Genomic DNA, 21,090 nt, shown 5'->3' with positions numbered 1-21,090 from the left:
ATGGTGATAATTAAATCAGCTCGGTCAACGTCTGGAAGGGGGCAAGGGCTGTTGGCGTTTTTAAAAAGTTTCTTGGGCGATTCAGATGTGCAACCAGGATTGAGAACCACTCGTTTACATGTCTTTCTTCCTGTGTAACTGTTGAGGCTAGAAACCGGGAGTCCAAGGCTTCAAGACTCCCAGCACAAATGTCTGAACTATAGGAAATATGAGAAATGGGTTTGTTATTGTTATTACTAATAAAATAATCATGGAGGAAGATAAACAGCAAATGGAAGATGATATAGTTTGCATATTTTTGTCTCCAAATTTCATGTTGAAATTTGATCCCCGTTGTTGAAGATGGGGCCTACTGGGAGGTGTGATGGGGGCGGATCCCTCATGAAAGGCTTGGTGCCATCCTTCTGGTAATGTGTGGGTTCTTGCTCTATTCGTTTCCAAAAGAAGTGATTGTTAGGAAATGCCTGGCACCTGCCTCCTCTGTCTTTTTCCTCCTCTCTTGCCATGTGGAGCCTGCACCCCTTTGCCTTCCCCCATAAGTGGAAGCAGCCTGAGGCCTCACCAGATGCAGATGCTGGCGCCATGCTTCTTGTACAGCCTGCAGAACCATGGTCCAAATAAACCTCTTTCTGTTGTAAATTACCTAGCCTCAGGTATTCCTTTATAGCAACACAAATGGACTCATACAGTAGGTTTAGGAGAAGAAAGAGGAGGAAGAGAAGAATCAGCAACCCACACAGAATATTCCAACATTGGAGGAATCATTACTATCTTCATCTAATCTCTCGACTTCAGTTTCCCAACTGTTAAAAAAAAAAAGGAGACTATCTAATTCCTAGTAAATGGGCTCCATAAATAAATAGCCTCGATTTGTAGCATCTGCACATTACCCTGGTGTAAATACTCCCACCATGGTTGACTTTCACTTATGAATGGTTTGACAATGGCTCAAAAGAACCCTGGATCCTTAGGAACGGCTTTCCTAAACCTGCGCTGGCCAGCTCCAGCAGAGCAGAATAGGGGAATCAGTGAGTTAAACATATACCAAGTGCTTGGGACAGTGCCGGCCTCATAGGAAGCACTCAATAAATACGAGTTGTTACCATTATCATTATGGGTATTAATAATGTTTTCATTATGGTTATCGATAATGTTATTAATGGTTATTAGTCATGTTATTTTCTTTCATCTTATTTTGCTAATAGAACTCTTTGTGTCTAACAGGACCAGAGAAGCCGAAAGATAGGATTTTTTTTCAGTGAAAGGATTTTTTTTCAGTGTTTCAAGTAGAAACTGGGTAGCTCCTGACACCTAGGCAGACTTCTTATGCAATCTGCTTTATAACCAGGGTCATTTAACAGAAAGAGATTACATTTATGATAGTTCAGAGTTTATGAAGCACTGCCATGGCTTTTTGCTTTTTCTCCTCGTTTGATACCTGCAACAATTCAATGAGATAGGCAGGAATCCTCATGTTGCAGAAAAAAAAATAAGGTTCAGAGAGATTGTAACTTATCAGGATCACAGGGCTTCTGCCAGTGGCAGAGCTGGTTCTCAAAAAAGTCCAGTGGGGCTGGGTGCAGTGGCTCACACCTGTAATCCCAGCACTTTGGGAGGCCAAGGAGGGTGGATCACAAGGTCAGGAGATTGAGACCATCCTGGCTAACACAGTGAAACCCCGTCTCTACTAAAAATACAAAAAATTAGCCGGGCGTGGTGGCATGCACCTGTAGTCCCAGCTACTTGGTAGGCTGAGGCAGGAGAATTGCTTGAACCAGGGAGGCGGAGGTTGCAGTGAGCCAAGATCGTGCCACTGCACTCCAGCCTGGCGACAGAGCGAGACTCCATCTCACAAAAAAAAAAAAAAAAAAAAAAAAGCCCAGTGTTCTCCCCATCTATTTTAGCTCCAACTTAATTTCCAAGAGGCATTTATGTGGGACACACAATTTCCCTGACCAGGGACCCCACCAGACATGGAGAGAGAGGGAGAGAAGAAATGAGGCAGGCGATGACCTCATTTACTCTAAACAAAAGCCCTGAACACTCACTGCATGCAGGATCTTAAAATAAATATAGTTAATTCGGCCTAAATACCTTCAGTGAACATTTTCAGGGAAGGGATCTCCAGAGGGAAAACTTACTAATTCATGATAAGGTTAAAGTGGACCCATCTCTCGCTTTTAGTGTGAGCTTGAGTTACTACGATAATTAGGTTTGGCAGTGAGGGTATTAAGCTGTGTAGTGCAAGAAGTCCTGTTATTTGTAAAACACCAAGTGCGGTTTAATGGAATGCGTATGTGTGAGTGCATATTCAGGACAGGCTGGGGAAGACTCCAGCGACACTATGGAGCTGAGAGTCTGTGAAGTTGGGTAGCTACCAGGCCTCCCCAAATGTAGTTCTTGGGCTGAAAGTCTCTCCTTACTGAAGAGGCAATGGTTCCATCTCTAAGGAATGCAACACACTCCGTCTTGTGTTCTGCGGATTAGCAAGAAGGGGTGTCTGGAGAAGATGCACACGCGTTATCTTTATGATGTTTTCAATATGCCATTGATCCTGCAATGCATCACATGCCTAGAGTGGGCTCCCTCAGATGGGAGGGGGGTTGATTCTCCTACCTTTCCTTCCCAGTCCTCTGGTAACTTAGGTTGGGTGCTTGGGAGAGGACTCAGAAGGCACATGAGGCTTTTGGTGGCTGTGAACAGCCATGCGGTGCAAAGGGCCCACAAGGAGAACGGGGGGCAGGGCCTCTCAGTCCTGCTAGGCTAATCACTTGAGGGGTTACCCCAGATTTTTGTTTTGAGGGAAAACCCCAACAATGTATCAACATTTATGAATGCATGTTAAGCAATACTGGGAGAGAGCTGTCTACATTAGAGGTCAATTTTGGGGTTTGGGTTTTTTTTTTCACTTTTAGAGTTAAAAAAATTATTAAATCAGTAATCACAAATGACTCACTTCTAGACCTTTGCTATTTTATCTAACTGGCTTAGAAAAAGCCATGTCAGTGCCCAGGGGAAAATGTGAGCTCCAGGAAGCCTTTGGGTACCAGGCAGCTTTGGAAGGAGTTTGGAGGACACTGTTTCAGAGCTCCAGGGCTTTGGGTTCCAAATGCTTTCCAGGCTGAACATCTCCAGGTGATGCTTTTCGAGGAAGAGGGATTTGAGCCGCTGCCCTGAGGCCCTTGTGTGAACACGGTCCACTTTGGCAAGCCCCTCTGGTGTTTAGAGCTGGAGACAAGGAGACCAGCATTTGTCAAGCACTTTCTAAGCCCCAGACTCTGTGCTCCTTGCTTTCTCTGCATTACCACACGTAATCGTCACAACCTCCACTATGAGGCAGCTGCCATTATCCTACAAGAGAAGCAAGATAGCCAGGCGGCCAGCCCAGGACCTAACTTGGCTCACCCGACTCCTCTAGGTCTCGTGGCCCAGGCATGGATGGCTCAGCTTAGACCAGGACAGAACTGGCTACTTTCTTGCACCACGTGGAATAATTCAGTCCATGGCCTATCACATTATGACATAGAATGAGGAGGACTAAAATTAAATACTCACTGTTTGCCAAGCCCTATGTCAGGCCCCTGAGAGAGGCAGCACCGGGTAACAGAAGGAGCTCCAGCTTTGGAAAGAGAAGGCCCTGGATTCATGTCTTACTTGTTATTCATAGTTGTGCAGTTTGGGGCAACTTAACCTTTCTGAATCAGTTCTCTCAGCCATAAAATGAATATAATAATAGCACAAACTTTTCTTCAGAAAGCTGTTGTGAGGGTTAAATGAAATATTGTGAGAGCCACATAAGTCTTCAGTGCATTAGCATCACCATGCATTCCGCACGAACCTGTGTTAAACGCTCCTAACACATTCTTTCTTTTGTGTGTGTGACAGTCTCGTTCTGTCGCCCAGGCTGGAGTGCAATAGTGTGATCTCAGCTCACTGCAACCTCCGCCTCCAGGGTTCAGGCGATTCTCCTGCCTCAGCCTCCCGAGTAGCTGGGATTACAGGTGCCCACCACCACACTCAGCTAAATTTTGTATTTTTAGTAGAGATGGAGTTTCCCCATGTTGGTCAGGCTGGTCTCGAACTCCTGACCTCAGGTGATCCACCCGCCTTGGCCTCTCAAAGTGCTGGGATTACATAATGCATCCTTTTAATAATACAGTCTAAAATTTTGTCCAAAATGGACTTCAGCCTTTTATATCATTGTTTTCAGAGTGTATCTTCTCTCTCTTTTTGAAAATAGAATTGCATTTGCAATTCTGTACATCAACTCCTTTCCCTAACTCTCTAAAAATCTACAGTGCTTTGGTGAGCTTATTAAGTCATTCAGGAACCTGGGAATACATTTCATCCTAATTCATGAGAAGTAATAAAAGGTTCTGAGAGTGGTAGGGAGGGGAAATGTTTTATTTATTTACTTGTCCTATATCATTTCGCACATACTGCATATTATATTATGTATTATTTAGCACCTACAACGCAAGGTGCTACAGAAGATACACATGTGAAAGGCAGCTTCTGTCCCCAAGGAGGGCACAATCTAGGAAGCAGCCAGACAACAAAGGCAAAGAGTGTTACATGCCTGAAAAGCGGTGCCTCCATGGAAATGTGTCTTCCGGGGGAAGGAGAGACGTCTTCTGGCCTGGGCACCATGGAGGAAGAGAAATTTGGGCAACCGACTTAATCTTTCAGGAACTGGGAGAACTTTGCTAACCTTTGGACTAGGCTTTGAAGAGTGGGTGTGGTTTGGTGGTAATCCAGGAAGAGGAAGGGCAATTAGGGGTTCAGAGGGAAATATACAGGACCTGACAGTGTCTGTCTGTCTGGTTGGAGCTAACAAATTATGTAAGAGAAAAATGAGATCATTTAGCTGGGTGCCAGAGTGTGAAAAACCTTAAACATCAGGCTGGGTTTGACTTCAGTGGGGAATCACTGAGCCAGGATTTTTAATAGAGAAGTGACATAAACCTCACCCTGAGGGGTTCTGTCAACCAGACAGGAGATGGAGACCAGAGAGAGGCATGCTAAAGCCAAGGTCGCTGGCCAGGTGACAGCGAAAAGGGCAAGAACTAGAGAGGCATGCAGGACAAACAGCTCAGGGGACGATCCCTTTGAGTTCCTATCCAAGTTCCACCACAGGGGACCTTGTTTATCCTCTCTGGGCCTCAGGTGCCATAGCTGGGAAGTAAAAAGCTTGGGCCAGAAGGTGATTTCTCCAAGTCCTCCCAGCCTGGCCTCCTCTGGCTTTCTGCCTGACATTTTTGTCACCGCTCTTCAAGCTGGCCGAGCAGGGGAGGACTAGTAGTTGTCACCCACCGTGCCAGGCCACCCTCTACCCCCAACAACCCCTGTCGCATTCTCAACAGCTGATGGTTTTTATTGTACAGCCTTGCAAAGAAGCCCAACTAGTTAAAGCAGTTGTGTTTTGCTTTGACTTCGCAAATGTCCCTGAAACAAATGATGCCAAAACAAAGAAACACATCAATACACGCAGCCAGACAATAAAGTCCAAGAACACATAAGAATGTTCTTTTATTACAAGTTGACATAGCAAATCAGTGAAGAAAGGAGAAATCAACCAGCAGGCCTGGGGCAAACGGCTGTTTAGGAAAAAATAATGTTCCATCTCCATCTCACTCTGTGGACCAATATTAATTCCAGCTGGTTTCAGAAGAGAAACATAAGAAAACATAGAGACAGTTAATGTAATCTTGAGACAAGGGAAGCCTTTCTTGGCATGAAAAAGCAGTTACAATAAAGGCAAGGATTAATAGATTTGACCATATTTTTTGTGTGTGTGAGACGGAGTTTCACTCTGTCGCAAAGGCAAGAGTGCAGTGACACAATCTCAGCTCACTGCAACCTCCGTCTCCCATGTTCAAGAGATCCCCCTGCCTCAAACCTCCAAGTAGCTGGGATTATAAGTGTGCACCACCAAGCCTGGTTAACTTTTGTATTTTTAGTGGAGACGGGGTTCCACCATGTTTGCCAGGCTGGTCTCAAACTCCTGAGCTCAAGTGATCCATCGGCCTTGACCTCCCAAAGTGCTGGGATTACAGACACGAGCCACCGCTCCCAACCAGATTTGCCCTTATAAATATTCACAAGTCGGCATACCAAAGACAATACAACGATTTCCCAAGGCTGCATCAAACATCTTTTTAGATGTATCTGGGATGGGTGGGAAAGCCATTTCTAATTATCTCGACGTGAAAAGGGAGAACCCGTTAATGAGAGAAACGAAGAGAACTAGCTTTAGGGGGAACTTCAGGAGGGAAGAAAGGCCTCACCACAGGCTAGAATGGGGCCCTCACCACAGCCACTGAGCAGGGCCAGGAGGATGCGGAGCTCCAGCTCCACCGCCAGGACTTCCATTCCCCCTCTGCCCTGGGGAGGAATTGGAAGGCTCCGCTGGCCTCCCCAGTCCCACTCCTCCACCCCGAGCAGAAGCAAGTGAAAGAAGTAAACGCAGACCCTGCCAGGGTTGCCTTGGCTTTTCTGCAGCTCAGAGCTGATGGGCTGTCTGTCGGACGGGCAGGGGTGGAGGCACCTCCCTCCAGGCTTATGGCCCGGGGGATGTCCTTGAGCCCCTCCCCAGGGCTCCCGGAGCTTGTCTTTCCTGTTCTGTCTCTGTGGCCTGGGTATCACAAGGGAAGGATTTGGTGTCATACTGCCTTCCACAGCCTGTGGCTGCATGCCAGGTCCCAGTGCCCACAAGAAATACGACTCCACCTGCTCCAGGGGACAGGCAGGCCACACGACTCTCGGAGCTCACTGAGAAGTGGGTGCAAGTCTCCAGGCATAGAGTGCCACTCATCTGAACCTTGCTGGGCTTCCCTTTGGGGCTGAGAAGGAGCCCCGGCGTTCCCAGCAGATTGGAAGCTCCCTCTATGGTCTCCTCGGCAACCACAGGCTGCTGGCCTCTCTGAGCAGCGGTCTGGGGCTGAGCTGCCAGGTGACTGCACTGTCCCCATCCCTGCTCGGCTGCAGCAGCAAATTCACATGCCGTAATGAATGGTCCCAGCCTAAGACGGGGGATCTTAGGAATGAAGGTGTTGTGGGGGTTAACATGGCTTCTGGGAAGGAAATTCAAGTTGTATCCACAGGAAGAACTCATACATACCTGGGTTCATCTGGCAAACTAGAAAGCAATGGCCCAAGGAGGGCATCAGGGCAGGGGAGCAGAGAAGCCTCTCAGAGAGCACTCGCCCTAAGGGAAGAAGGAGCTGGAGGACACGAATGCACCGAGAGCCTCGTGGAGGAGGCGAGCGCTCCTGAGCAGTAGCTGAGACTCTGACTGGACCCCGCACGGACCCCGTTCACTTTACGTCTGAGCTCTATAGAGGGTGAACGCCCGAAGCAAGAATGAGCTCCGGAGAAGCCCAAGGCCATGCACAGAGCGCGTCAGTGACGGTTCTTCACTGAAGGCCACAAAACCTGATTCCGGCTGATAGGAGCTAAGAAGGAATGCTGTGAAAGGGTATCACGTAGCTCACAAGGCGGCTGGCCCGCAGGACTGGAAAACTAAAAGAAACAAAAGGTTCCCGTGCAGCTGGAACCACAGCCACAGAACCAGCCCAGAGACAGGGCTGCCGCCTTCTCCCTGACAAAGCCCAGAGAGCTCAGCAGGCACCTCCGATATTGCCCATGGTGGATGCTGGATGTCGCTGCCACCACCATCATTGCTGCCACCACCACCACCACCATCATCACCACCACCACCATCACCACCGTCACCACTACCACCACAGTGGCTGGAAAGAATTTGCCCCTGTCCCAGCTTCACTGCCGTCACTGGCTCCTGATTCAAAGTTGGAGGTGAGTAAGGCTCACTGGCCCACACTTAGGCCTCAAGGAACATGGGGTAAGTGAGTTGTCTGTCCTGTTCAGCTTCTAGATTTGTACATTAGGAAATTCTCCCAACATAGGAGGCTGTGGAGGGAAGGATCAGTCAGACACTGACGGCCAAGAAGGAGGAGGAAGAGGAGGAGAAGTGAGAAGAAACAAACACTCCAGCTTCAAACATATCTTGAATAAGTCACTCCTGCTCTCCAGGCTTCAACCTCCTCTTCCATCGTGACCGTCCACATTGCGTGGGGGTCATGGGAGGAAATGGGTGAGAGTCCTGTCACTGGCAGCGTGGGTAAGTGGAATCACCATCCTGCGTGGTCATCACCATCATCATCTTAAGGATTGTCCCTAACCCGGGGTTCCTCAACCTCTACAACTAACATTTGGGGCCTGTGCATTGTAGGATGTTTAGCAGCATCCTTGGCCTCTACCCACTTGATGCCACCAGCGCCTCCTCTCCAACTGTGACAATTGGCAGCCGCCTCTAGACATTGCCAAATATCCCTGGGGCAGAGCTGCCTCTAGTTGAGACCACTGCTGTAAACACAGCTGCCTCAGTCCTCCTGTGGCCACTCTGCAATAAAGGCCTAGACTTTCCCTCTGGAGAGGCTGGGCTCCTGCCAAGACAGGAGCACGCAGAGTCCTAGGGCGCCCTTTTGACTCCTGCTCATGGAGGCAGAGAGGAGGAAAAGGGCAGTCTTATGTCACCAAATATTTGCTATTCTTTGAGCCCTGCGCAACCTGCCTTTGCTCACTTAGCATGCTCTCCCTCACCCCAACCTCTCTCCACTTGTCCAAATCTGACCCCTTCCCTCTATCTCTGAACTGGCCAGCATTTCTCCCTTTCAAGATGCTCAGTGCCCTGGCCAGACATGGTGGCTCACACCTGTAATCCCAGCACTTTGGGAGGCCAAGGCAGGTGGATCCCTTGAGGTCAGGAGTTCGAGACCAGCCTGGCCAACATAGTGAAACCCCATCTCTACTAAAAATACAAAAATTAGCCGGGTGTGGTGGCACGTGCCTGCAGAATCCCAGCTACTCGGGAGGCTGCGGCGGGAGAATCGCTTGAACACAGGAGGCGAAGGCTGCAGTGAGCCGAGACTGCACCATTGCACTCCAGCCTGGGTGACAGAGTGAGACTCTGTCTCAAAAAAAAAAAAAAAAAAAAAAAAAAAAAAAAAAAAAAGCCGGGCATGGTGGCACACACCTGACATTCCAGCTACTCAGGGGGCTGAGGCAGGAGAACCACTTGAACCTGAACCCAGGAGGCAGAAGTTGCAGTGAGCTAAGATTGTGCCGCTGCACTCCAGCCTGGGCAACAGAGCAAAACTCTGTCTCAAAAATAAATAAATAAATAAATAAATAATGCTCAGTGTCCTAATCCGATACCACATGTTACTCTGTGCTGTACCCCTGCAGTGGGGTGGGGAGGAGGAAAGCCATACACCTACACTGAGAGGCATCATAAGACATCGCCCTGTGAGGACCTTTGTGGAGAGGTGTTAGGGGGACATGGCTCATTTCATCACGCAGCGCTCTCTCAATTAGGACCCTCGGGAGAGATGCCCAAACCACTCCTGAGCAACTGGTCAGTTTTTGTTTTATGGACACCAGGAACTGGGCCTTTTCCCAGGCTTTCCTGTCCTGGAAGCTGTTAGAAAGCTTGGAGTCAAATTTGGGGTTCACCCTCATTATATGTATATTTATGGTTCTCGTAGTTTAGTCTCATTCCTGGCCCCTTTTTTATGCCCTTACCCTTATTTTTTCCTTTTATTCCTTCTTTTAAATTATGTTCCCTTGTTATGTTTTATGTATTAACACTTTCTGGCACAAAGCACAGTCTAAATAAGAAGATAGATGTAGATAAAGTAGCTCTGTCTCTCTCATATGAGAGCTATGTATTTTTATATCTTGTCTGGCTCTAAATTAATGTGAATTTACTGAAAGCAGTAGTTGGATCAGATTCATTTCTTGCCCACCATCCCCACTCCTTCACTCCCTCCCCGGGAATTCAGCCCATTGCCCATTACATATGGACACTCAGTCAGTATTTGTTGCTCTGTTGATGACTGGTTCTCTTAGACGCAACAAATTCCTTCCCTCCCTCCTTTCTCCCTTCCTACCTTCTTTTCTTTCCTCCTTTTCTTCTCTATCTCTTCCTTTTTTTTCCCCCGAAAAATGAAGACAAAAAAGAGGAAACAGATACGCTTTGGAAAGAACTCCCAATGAGGTCCTTCACTATATTCACACCTTAGAAGAGCTGACACTTCAATTCTCTTCTAAAACCTAAAACCTACAACAAGAGTCTATCAAGTTCATGCTGAAGAGTGGCTTCAGCCAGAAGAAGGAAAGCAGGGACTCCTGTGCAGAGCCCCAAGGCCTTCTTGATGACACTGGTCTTGTCTGGGGAAGTAACATTCCAGCCTTGTCAGCTCATTATCGTTTCTCTGAAATCACTCTGCCTTTTCATCTGGATCCAGCATTCTTCAGACTTTGCCTTCTCCTGGTGAGGCATGTGTTACATGAAAAAAGTAAAATGCTACCCTCAGAGAATATTTGTTGAATGAGTGAATCCTATTGAGGCAGGAAAATAGGGTCTGGAGGCAGGAAACATAAGATACCCTCTCCATAGGGCATACACCGACTAAATGACTTTGTAACTTTACTTCACCCTCTTTGTTTACATAGAGCGTACTCCAAGTAGAGGGTATTTAAACTCATAAAAACTCTGTAAACAGGGCCTTTGAGCCCCTACACTCAGGCCCACTCCCACACTGTGGAGCGTGCTTTCATTTTCAATAAAACCCTTCATTCTTTCCTTTGTTTGTGAGTTTTGTCCAATTCTTTGTTCAAGATGCCAAGAACCTGGACACCCTCCACGGTTAACATTATTTGAACCTCCCAACACTGTGAGTTAGACAGAGCAGCGATGATGATCACTATCACCTGTATAGATGAGGAAGATGAGATGAGACTTAGACATGTGATTCACAGTGTCATCAGGACCACAGCGGTTGCATAAAGCTCAAGAAATCTGCTGGGGGTGCAGAGTGGGTCTCCATTAAATGTGCATCACCCTAAAACAGAGCCTAGGCCTCAGGCCCTGCAGATGTGCCAAAGACCCCATCGTTGCTGTAGAGTATCATTTGTTAGTTTGTTCTTGCATTTATGGGCAACACCCATTTATTGAACATGGATGACATGGTGCTAAGCACAGTGAAGGACATAAAGACGAACGTGTCCACTCTTGAGCACCTCAAAGTCTAGCCAGGAAAACAGACCTGTGGAAAAAAGACCACAAAGCAAATCATCAGCACTCTCACGGCGCCACTCCTCACCGGCACTGCCAAAACCGTGCATGCAACTCCATGGTGGCAGTTTTCATATGGATTGCAATTGTTTCATGCCTCTTTCACCACCAGAGTATGACCTCCTTGAGGGAAAGGGCAGTTTTTGTTTTTTTATTTACTTTACTTTTTAATTTATTTTTATGTTTGTTTTGAGACGGAGTCTTGCTCCGTCAGGCTGGAGTGCAACGGTGCAATCTCCACTCACCGCAACCTCCGCCTCCTGGGTTCAAGCGATTCTCCTGCCTCAGCCTCCGGAGTAGCTGGGATCACAGGTGCATGCAACCATGCCCGGCTAATTTTTTGTATTTTTAGTAAAGACAGAGTTTCACTATGTTGGCCAGGCTGGTCTGGAACTCCTGACCACGTGATCCGCCCGCCTTGGCCTCCCAAAGTGCTGGGATTCCAGGTGTGAGCCGCCGCGCCCGGCCTGACAATTTTTATTTTAACCTTATTCTTCCCCACAGCATTTAACCCGGTCACTGATATCCAGCTTCTACTCAGTCAACGCTTGCTGAAGGGATGACAACAGAGGCCTCTGGGGGCTACAAGAGGAGGACATTTCTGCAGGAGCCATGGAGTGCATCACAAAAGGGAGATTTTGCTTGGAGTCTGAAAGCTGAGGAAGAGTTTGCTGGGAGACAGGGGCAAGGGTTCCAGGCCAGGGGAACCCCATAAACAGGACTAGCCTTGGGTAAACACTTCCTGCAGGCCAGGCTGTGTGTGGCCTGTGGAGTGAAGGGCTTTAAAAGGACTATTTCTGAACCCCACCCATCCCATGAGTTTGCTGATATGATCAATACTATCTTATACCTGAGAAACAAAAGGCATAGAAAGATCGAGTACCTTGTCCAAGACCACACAGCCACCATGCCGTAGAAGTGGGACTGGAATCCATTCTGTCATACAACTATAGCCCAGGCAGGAGGGGGAGAGGTCATTACCTCTTCCTTCCCCCTTCTCCATGGAACTCTTGAAAGATTTTAGCTCCATCTGTCACCAAGACCCCAGGGCATCTGTGATCAATAGGATCTCAGCCATGTGCAACACCCCTGGGGGCATGCAGCCGTGTGGGGCACCCGGTCCTAAATGTTCTGTATGCATGTGGCCACCCTCCTTTGCCATGCCTTGAAGAGCCACTCCACAGTCTCCCCAGGTTCTCCTAGGTTGTAGCCACGGAGCTGGGGTGAATGGCTGCTGTTCAGAGTTATGTTCCTCCCCTCCTTAATCCAGAGAGACCCTGCCTTTGCTCGCCAGGCATCTGCACTCTGTAGAGAAGACACCTTGAGATAGGAAAAATCCCAGGCAGCATGAGAGCAGTCAAAAATGCCAGCCACTCTCTCCTGGTACAGGATTCTGTTTTCCAGAGTGCTCCCGGTGCTTAGCAGTGAAAGAGGATGGAGCCTAGGAGCTGCAGAGGCGCCACTGGGTTCCCAGGGCTTGTGACCCAAGCGCCCATGGTATGTCGGGGTGCTCAGTTACCTGCTGTCTTCATACTAGGCCTCACCCTCAGTGTGGCACTCTCACAGTGCCACAGGAAAACAAGACATTGTGTATCTTCCTATTAGTGACCATCATTCAACGCATTTGGTTGAGCCACTCTATGCGCCAGCCATGTTAGAGGTGATTTTACAGTGCGCTCATCTAAGAGAGCTGCTCTGGATGGACCTGGCCCTCAGCGGGGCTGTGCTCTGGGGACGTAGAGCCCAAGGGAGGATTCCAGTTGAGAGGGTCACTCACGTGAAGCAGAGAACATCATCTGCCTGGTCTCCATCTTATGGCAAAAGATGCTTTAGCAGATATTAGGGAATTCTATAATGGTAGTCTCTAGTATTTATTGTCCATCAGATGCCAGGTATGTGGAATATATCTAATCCTTGTAACAAACTTGAATTGGAGGTCATTGTCCAATTTTACAAATAAACAGTCTCCAAGATATTAAGCAGATTTTCCAAGGCCAATTTGTAAATGCCACAGCTAGTGTTCAAAGCCAAGACTTTCTGGCTCCAACTCCCATGCACTTTCCACTACACAGGTGCATCTCAGCCCAGGCTATGTTCACAATACTCACCATCACCATCACCATCATCATTAACTCCAGCCCAGGCTATGGTCACAATACTCACCATCACCGTCATCAACATCATTAACTCCAGCCCAGGCTATGGTCACAATACTCACCATCACCGTCATCTTCATCATTAACTCCAGCCCAGGCTATGTTCACAATACTCACCATCACCGTCATCATCATTAACTCCAGCCCAGGCTATGTTCACAGTACTCACCATCACCATCACTGTCACCATCATCATTAACTCCAGCCCAGGCTATGGTCACAATACTCACCATCACCGTCATCTTCATCATTAACTCCAGCCCAGGCTATGTTCACAATACTCACCATCACCGTCATCATCATTAACTCCAGCCCAGGCTATGTTCACAGTACTCACCATCACCGTCATCATCATCATTAACTCCAGCCCAGGCTATGTTCACAGTACTCACCATCACCGTCATCTTCATCATGAACTCCAGCCCAGGCTATGTTCACAGTACTCACCATCACCGTCATCATCATCATTAACTCCAGCCCAGGCTATGTTCACAGAACTCACCATCACCATCACTGTCATCATCATCATTAACTCCAGCCCAGGCTATGTTCACAGTACTCACCATCACCGTCATCTTCATCATTAACTCCAGCCCAGGCTATGGTCACAATACTCAACATCACCGTCATCAACATCATTAACTCCAGCCCAGGCTATGGTCACAATACTCACCATCACCGTCATCTTCATCATTAACTCCAGCCCAGGCTATGTTCACAATACTCACCATCACCGTCATCATTAACTCCAGCCCAGGCTATGTTCACAGTACTCACCATCACCATCACTGTCACCATCATCATTAACTCCAGCCCAGGCTATGGTCACAATACTCACCATCACCGTCACCTTCATCATTAACTCCAGCCCAGGCTATGTTCACAATACTCACCATCACCGTCATCATCATGAACTCCAGCCCAGGCTATGTTCACAGAACTCACCATCACCGTCATCATCATCATTAACTCCAGCCCAGGCTATGTTCACAGAACTCACCATCACCATCACTGTCATCATCATCATTAACTCCAGCCCAGGCTATGTTCACAGTACTCACCATCACCGTCATCTTCATCATTAACTCCAGCCCAGGCTATGTTCACAGAACTCACCATCACCGTCATCATCATCATTAACTCCAGCCCAGGCTATGTTCACAGTACTCACCATCACCATCACCGTCACCATCATCATTAACTCCAGCCCAGGCTATGTTCACAGTACTCACCATCACCATCACTGTCATCATCATCATCTCCAGTGTGTACACCAGGGCATCAGTGGGTGCTAGAAGCCACAGAAATAAATATGGGCCATCTTCTTGAGGTCCAATTTGGTGATTCGTAGGCATTAGTTTTACATTAAAATCAACATTGATATATTAAGGAAGAGAGAACAAGTTAAGCATAATTGTTTAGGGGGAGAACGGAACTCGATTCTATGGGCTGTTTCAGGCTCTGCCCCAGGTTTGGGGTCTTTCTTCGTGCCGTTGAAACACTTGAATGGAAAATGTAGAGAGTTTCCAAGCTCACCCCGGAATCGGTGAGCAGGCCCTGGTGGTGAGGGCTGCAGGTTGACCTGGACTCCTCCTTCCTGTCTAGGGATTGCCTCCAGATTAGCAGAGGCTGGGGCCTATCTGAGGCAGACAGCTTCAGTGCACACAGGCAAGCTAGAGTCAAGAAATGGACCGTGGATCTTTCAAATCTCTTCTTATCTTGCTTTCAGGTGATTCTGTTATTTAAAGTTTTTATCTTCTTGAAAATTTTAGGAAGATTAAATTTCTTAGGAAATTTTAAATCAAATCATGCTTTTATGGAGTAAGAGAACCGAGCCTTCCCTTTCATGACCCCAGTATACCTCTCCCAAGAGGTGTAGTAAGTTCGTTTTACGTGGTTGATATGGGGCGGGGGTTAGCAGCTCTTCTCTCCTTCAGTAGTTCTCAAGCTTGGCTGCACCAGGAATCACCTGGGAGGGTTTTTTGTTGTTGTTTGTTTTTTTTTTTTTTTTTTTTTTTGAGATGGAGTATCACTCTGTTGCCCAGGCTGGAGTGAAGTGGCTGGATCTCAGCTCACTGCAACCTCCGCCTCCTGGGTTCAAGTGATTCTCCTGCCTCAGCCTCCCAAGTAACTGGAATTACCGGCTTGTGCCACCACGCCTGGCTAATTTTTGTATTTTTAGTAGAGACAGGGTTTTGCCATGTTGGCCAGGCTGGTCTCAAACTCCTGACCTCAGATGATCTGCCCACCTTGGCCTCCCGAAGTGCTAGGATTACAGATGTGAGCCACCATGCCCAACCCACCTGGAAGTTTTAACAAACACTGATGCCTGGGCTCAGTCCCCAGAGGCGCTCTCTGAAGTGCTTGACCAGGGGTGTGGCCTGCCCACTGAGGGTATTAAAAGCCCTTCAGGTGACCCAGGTACAGTAGGCTTGAGAACCACTGTCGTGTAGTTTTAGGCCAGTGACCAGGATCCTTGGCTCTTTGAAGGAGCAATTTCAAGTAGATCTGAGCTGCAAAATTGCCATCACCTTACCCCTGCTCATTAAGAAAACACAGAGAAAAATCTTCCTGCTAAAAGCCTGGGGTGAAAAGGTTCCGCTTTTGATGGATGTACTTAAAAGAAAAAGCTTTGATTTGTTTGAAGTCATCCTTAGGGGTGGGTTTTTTTCTTGCATCTATGAGAGTGTTCTCAAACCCCGTGAAAAAAATTAGATTCTAGCAGCAAAGGTTGATGAAATGCAGATACTGGCAAAGAGTCGTTTCAATGAAAAACCAAAAGGCCCATGGCTGGCTTCCTTCTTGAGTAGTTTCTACGGTTTTCACAGATATTTCTGCAATCAGATTGCATCATTCATCCTCCCCATTCCCACTGTCATAATCCAGGTCTGACATCTTCCCGCTGCAGTGTCACAGTCTCCTAACTCATCTCCCTGCCACCAGCGTTTCCCTTTTTCAGCCACTCTCTGCATCATACCCAGAGAGATCTCTCTAGAACGCGTATTTGATCGTGTCACTCTCCTGTCTAAAAATCCTGTAGTGTCTGCTTCCTTGTTATATTTGAAATAAAACCTGAACTTCTTTGTACAACGCATAAAGTCACTCATTATCTAGTACATGCCTAACCTCTCCGGCTTTTCATCTCAATCTCTCCATAATCCTGCACACTCCACGTCAAAGCCAGACAGAATGACTCATGGTTTTCCAAACATGCTGAGCCCTCTCATGGCCCTGAGGTCTGGGTTCTAGAGGGTTCTCTATATCTGGAACATCCTTCCCACCGCCTTCCGCTTTCTTCTCTCAGCTAAGTCCCACTGTTTTTTTGTTGTTGTTTGTTTGTTGAGACAGAGTCTTGCTCTGTCGCCAGGCTGGAATGAAATGGTGTGATCTGAGCTCACTGTAGCCTCTGCCTCCCGGGTTCAAGCAATTCTCCTGCCTCAGCTTCCTGAGTAGTTGGGGCGACAGGCGCGCACCACCATGCCCAGCTAATTTTTGTATTTTTGGTAGAGACTGGGTTTCACCATGTTGGCCAGGATGGTCTCGATCTCTTGACCTCGTGATCCGCCCACCTCGGCCTCCCAAAGTGCTGGGATTACAGGCATGAGCCACTATGCCCAGCCAGCCCCACGGGTTTTTAAAGAAGCTTCCTTGAAGCCCCACTCCAGGTTAAGCATACTCTTCTTTCCCCCCACAGCACCTCAGGCATTGACCTCAGTCACTACTCTTACCACACTGTGTTATGATCATCTCTTTTGTCTACCCTAGACTGAGATCTTTTTAACACCAGTCTAGCACCTAGACCATAGCCTGACATGTCATTGGTGCTTACTGTGGTTTACAACAAAAAATAATCAAAATAATGCCCGAAATATGTTCATTTCTGCCCAATTGACTTCTAGCAAAATGGGCAACTGAAGTAGGTAGTTTGCATAGACACCAAGAAAATAAATCTTTGTCTTAGTGGCACCTAATTTCCCGTGTCAATAAAATCTCATGGAAAAATATCAAGTGCTTGCTGAATGACCAGCACAATGGGGATAAGCAAAAATAAGACAAGGTCAGATGAAATGTTCGTTCTTCCTCTTTGCTTCTACTGCAATAGGTGTTCCTTGGCTGAATCCCTTCATTCCCCCATGAACTGCTGTCCCCCCGGTATGTGGCTTTTCCTCCGCTACACTCAAAGCAGCTGGAGGGCATGGTCATGCATTATGGTCCCTCCATGGCCCACCTTGCCTGGGACACGTGCTCAGGAATGTTGTCCAATTCCAAATTATGATGAGCTAAGATTTGGCAACACATTCTGAAATGTTTTCTTTGGAACCCAAAATTAAAACTTTCACTTCTGATGAAGTTGCCTCAAATCCTTTCTGGAATAAAGCAAGCTATCAAAAAAATGAATAGAGGAGAGTGAAAATACATAAAAATGAATAAATAAGGACATGAAAAATATTTGGTGAAACCCACTATATCTCACCTATTCGTTTATTTGATCATTTGTTCACCAATCCATCCTGTCATCCAACTAACCATCCTTCATTTAACAAATATGGATGTGCCTGGGGCTGGGCTCAGAGTGATAAATGAGACAAATAGTCCTTGCACTCATGGGCTAATGTTCTAATGGGAAACAGACATTCGACAAAGAATTTCAAGTGTAACTGGGAATGAAAAGGGTGGTGTGGAGGTGCCCCCAAGACAGACGATGGTACTTGCTCATTCATTCACTCACCACTCACTCACCCACTCATTCATTCCCGGGTCCTCACACAAAGCCTGGATTCGCAGCACCACTCAATGTTTATTGAAGGAATGGATGAGGCCTGCTGTCTGCACAGTGTGTCATTAACAAAGGAGAATTTACCTGGAAGGTTGACTTGGGGAGCCCCAAATTTAAACTTACTTGATTTTTTAAAGCTTCTGGTTTTCTCACATCTCTGCAGGAAGGAGCATGGGCATGTATAATGTCAGAATTAAGACCTAATGATGAGACACCAGAGGTGTGAGTGCCCTACCGCACAGTAGCAGGGTTACCACAGGGCTTAGCCAAAGGCAGTTTAACTTACAATAACAAAGAACCGACATTTCCATCACCCACTTCCCTGAGGAAGAAAAAAGATCAAAGATATCGCAGTGCCATCGTTTAAACAGTAAAACAGAATTCACCTTGTGCAGCAAATGCCCCATGGCTCCTACATTACCAGTGTTCTGTGTTTCCTCGGTGATAGGCCTCTGTAACAAGCCTCTGTAGGGTCTCTTCTAACCCGTGAGTCCCAGCAACTTTAGCCAGAGCCAAGAGAGCCCTGAGGGATACTTGCCTGTTTGATTTCACGAAAGGACTGGCTTTTGCCTTTTCTGGCTAAACATGAGATGGAGAGAGACAGTGAGGGCGGGCTTTAGGATGTCACTGTGCCTTTGGCCGGAGCTCATTCTGCTGCCAGGATGAGTCACCTCGAAGATAAGAGTCGCAGTCATTCGTGAGCTGGGTGTTACCACACTTGGCAGAACTTGGATTCTATTGTGTCTGGAATTGGTGGGTTCTTGTTCTTTCTGACTTCAAGAATGAAGCCACAGACCCTCGAGGTGAGTGTTACAGTTCTTAAAGATGGTGTGTCCGGAGTTTCTTCCTTCTGGTGGGTTCGTGGTCTTGCTGACTTGAGGAGTGAAGCCGCAGACCTTCACAGTCAATGTTACAGCTCTTAAAGGTAGTGTGGACCCAAAGCGTGAACAGCAGCAAGATTTACTGCCAAGAGCAAAAGAACACAGCTTACTGAGCCTGGAAAGGGACCCGACTGGATTCCCGATGCCGGCTCGGGTGGCCTGCGTTTATTCCCTTATTTGGCCCCACCCACATCCTGCTAATTGGTCCATTTTACAGAGAGCTGATTGGTCCATTTTACAGAGAGCTGATTGGTCCATTTTACAGAGCGCTGATTGGTGTGTTTTTACAGAGTGCTGATTGGTGTATTTACAATCTTTAGCTAGACAGAAAAGTTCTCTAGGTCCCCACCTGATTAGCTAGACACAGAGTGCCGATTGGTGCGTTTTTACAGAGTGCTGATTGGTGTGTTTACAAACCTTTAGCTAGACACAGAGCGCTGATTGGTGCATTTACAATCCCTTAGCTAGACAGAAAAGTTCTCCAAGTCCTCACCTGACCCAGAAGCCCAGCCGGCTTCACCTCTCACTATGGCGGGAGCGATAAGCTGTCACTCCCCATTCCTGCTTAGGTCTGGATCTGTAAAAGCATCAGCAGGTCCAGACAGCTGAGGTTCTGTGAAAGGGTCCTATGTGCTTCTCCTGCTTTCCAGCTTAAGAACTAACGGGTGTCCAAGTGCTGAAGAAAGGACCCAGGGAAGCGAATGGGAGACCTGCTTCTAGTCCCAGACCTGCTACTGATGCTCTGTGTGGCTTTGGACAAGCTGCTTTTCCCTCTGGGCTCCACTTTCCTTGTCTGTAAAATGCTCATAGTCAGTCTAGTCCAGAAGCTCTAACTTTTGGGCCCTAGTCTACCAGAAATCCTCAAAGATAGCAATGGTTTCTGTGATTCCAAATAGCCTGATGAAAATGTACATTTCACAACGAAGGGGCTGAGTTGACTAAAGAGCCCAACTCCATTGCTTTTGACTAGCATTGTGTAGATGTCATAAATTGGGACTCTCGTGTTCATTAGAAACCCCTATCAACAGCCGTATATTTCTTTTTTCCTTTTTCTTTTTTCTTTTTTTGAGACTGAGTCTCGCTGTGTCACCCAGGCTGGAGTGCAGTGGCGCGATCTCTGCTCACTGCAAGCTCCGCCTCCCAGGTTCACACCATTCTCCTGCCTCAGCCTCCCGAGTAGCTGGGACTACAGGCGCCCACCACCACGCCTGGCTAATTTTTTGTATTTTTAGTAGAGACGGGGTTTCACCGTGTTAGCCAGGATGGTCTCGATCTCCTGACCTCGTGATCTGCGACTTGGTCTCCCAAAGTGCTGGGATTACAGGTGTGAGCCACCGTGCCTGGCCCATATATTTCTTTAATAAATCACAGGAAAAGAAATTTTTAACATATTTAGTTTTCTTCATACAAAATTGTTCTAAATGTAGGCCAGCATGAAGTATGGCTTTTGAAATGTTTCTGGTGGTAAGCACATTGCAGGTCCCTTGAAACCCAGTGATCCATCCAGCTCTAAGATTCTAAGATTCTAAGACTGGCGAGGGAGCCCGCCTCGCTCCCTTCCTCCTGCTCCATTGCTCCACAGCAAACAGCAGCCGTCTGCACCTAGGACCAGGCTGCAAGCTCACTTCAGACAAGGGCACTGGCTCCTCTGTGTGTTCAGAAAAGGTCTGAGAAGTTGGTGATTAGGGATTATGATCCCTGAAGCCCAGAGTATCTCTCAGTAACCATTATCAACTTACTTTATCATTGCCTCAGCTTCCTTTTCTGCGAAATAGTGTTCTATCTAAGATAGGCATAAATGGACATTATTTTGAATAGTAACAGTTAGAATAACCTTTGGACTATTGGATATTCTATGGAGAGAGGCAAGTGGTAGGCAGAATATAGACTCTCAGAACCAGAATTGCAATTCATGAAAGTTTACCCACCATATGTGTAAACACACACACACACACACACAAACACACACAAAGTCATACTCTCCTACAAGATAGAGGTGTGACCTACCTAGCCCTCTCTTTGAGTCCTTTCTTTCTGGCTTGAATAAGAGTAGATAGGTAGCTGGGGTGTTAAAAGAATGTTCTAGGTTTTAGCACCTGATACCTTGCAAAGACTTAA

General features: G+C 47.2%; 1 long non-coding RNA gene across 2 annotated transcripts, besides 1 other annotated feature; it reads left to right on the top strand.

Moving 5' to 3' along the window:
- The first annotated feature begins 6,043 nt into the window (after nucleotides 1–6,043).
- Nucleotides 6,044–11,743, top strand: LOC107986173 (uncharacterized). Of its 2 annotated transcripts, XR_001741086.2 has the most exons (3): nucleotides 6,044–7,815; nucleotides 7,926–8,140; nucleotides 11,663–11,743. It is a non-coding gene; the product is annotated as an uncharacterized LOC107986173 (long non-coding RNA). The 2 variants fall into 2 exon arrangements; XR_007096223.1 differs by lacking the exon at nucleotides 11,663–11,743 and having other exon boundaries at nucleotides 7,926–10,671.
- Nucleotides 18,517–19,716: an enhancer, noted in NCBI's record as "BRD4-independent group 4 enhancer chr3:194560957-194562156 (GRCh37/hg19 assembly coordinates)". NCBI's record gives its function as "activates an origin of replication core promoter dependent on BRD2, P300/CBP, MED14 and CDK7 cofactors, and independent of BRD4, by STARR-seq in HCT116 cells {active_cell/tissue: HCT116}" and the evidence as "EXISTENCE:reporter gene assay evidence [ECO:0000049][PMID:35650434]".

Source organism: Homo sapiens, chromosome 3 (genome assembly GCF_000001405.40).
Source record: "Homo sapiens chromosome 3, GRCh38.p14 Primary Assembly".
Lineage (NCBI taxonomy): Eukaryota > Metazoa > Chordata > Mammalia > Primates > Hominidae > Homo > Homo sapiens.
Note: the sequence above shows the minus strand (reverse complement) of the source record. Positions and strands in the feature narration are given on the sequence as shown.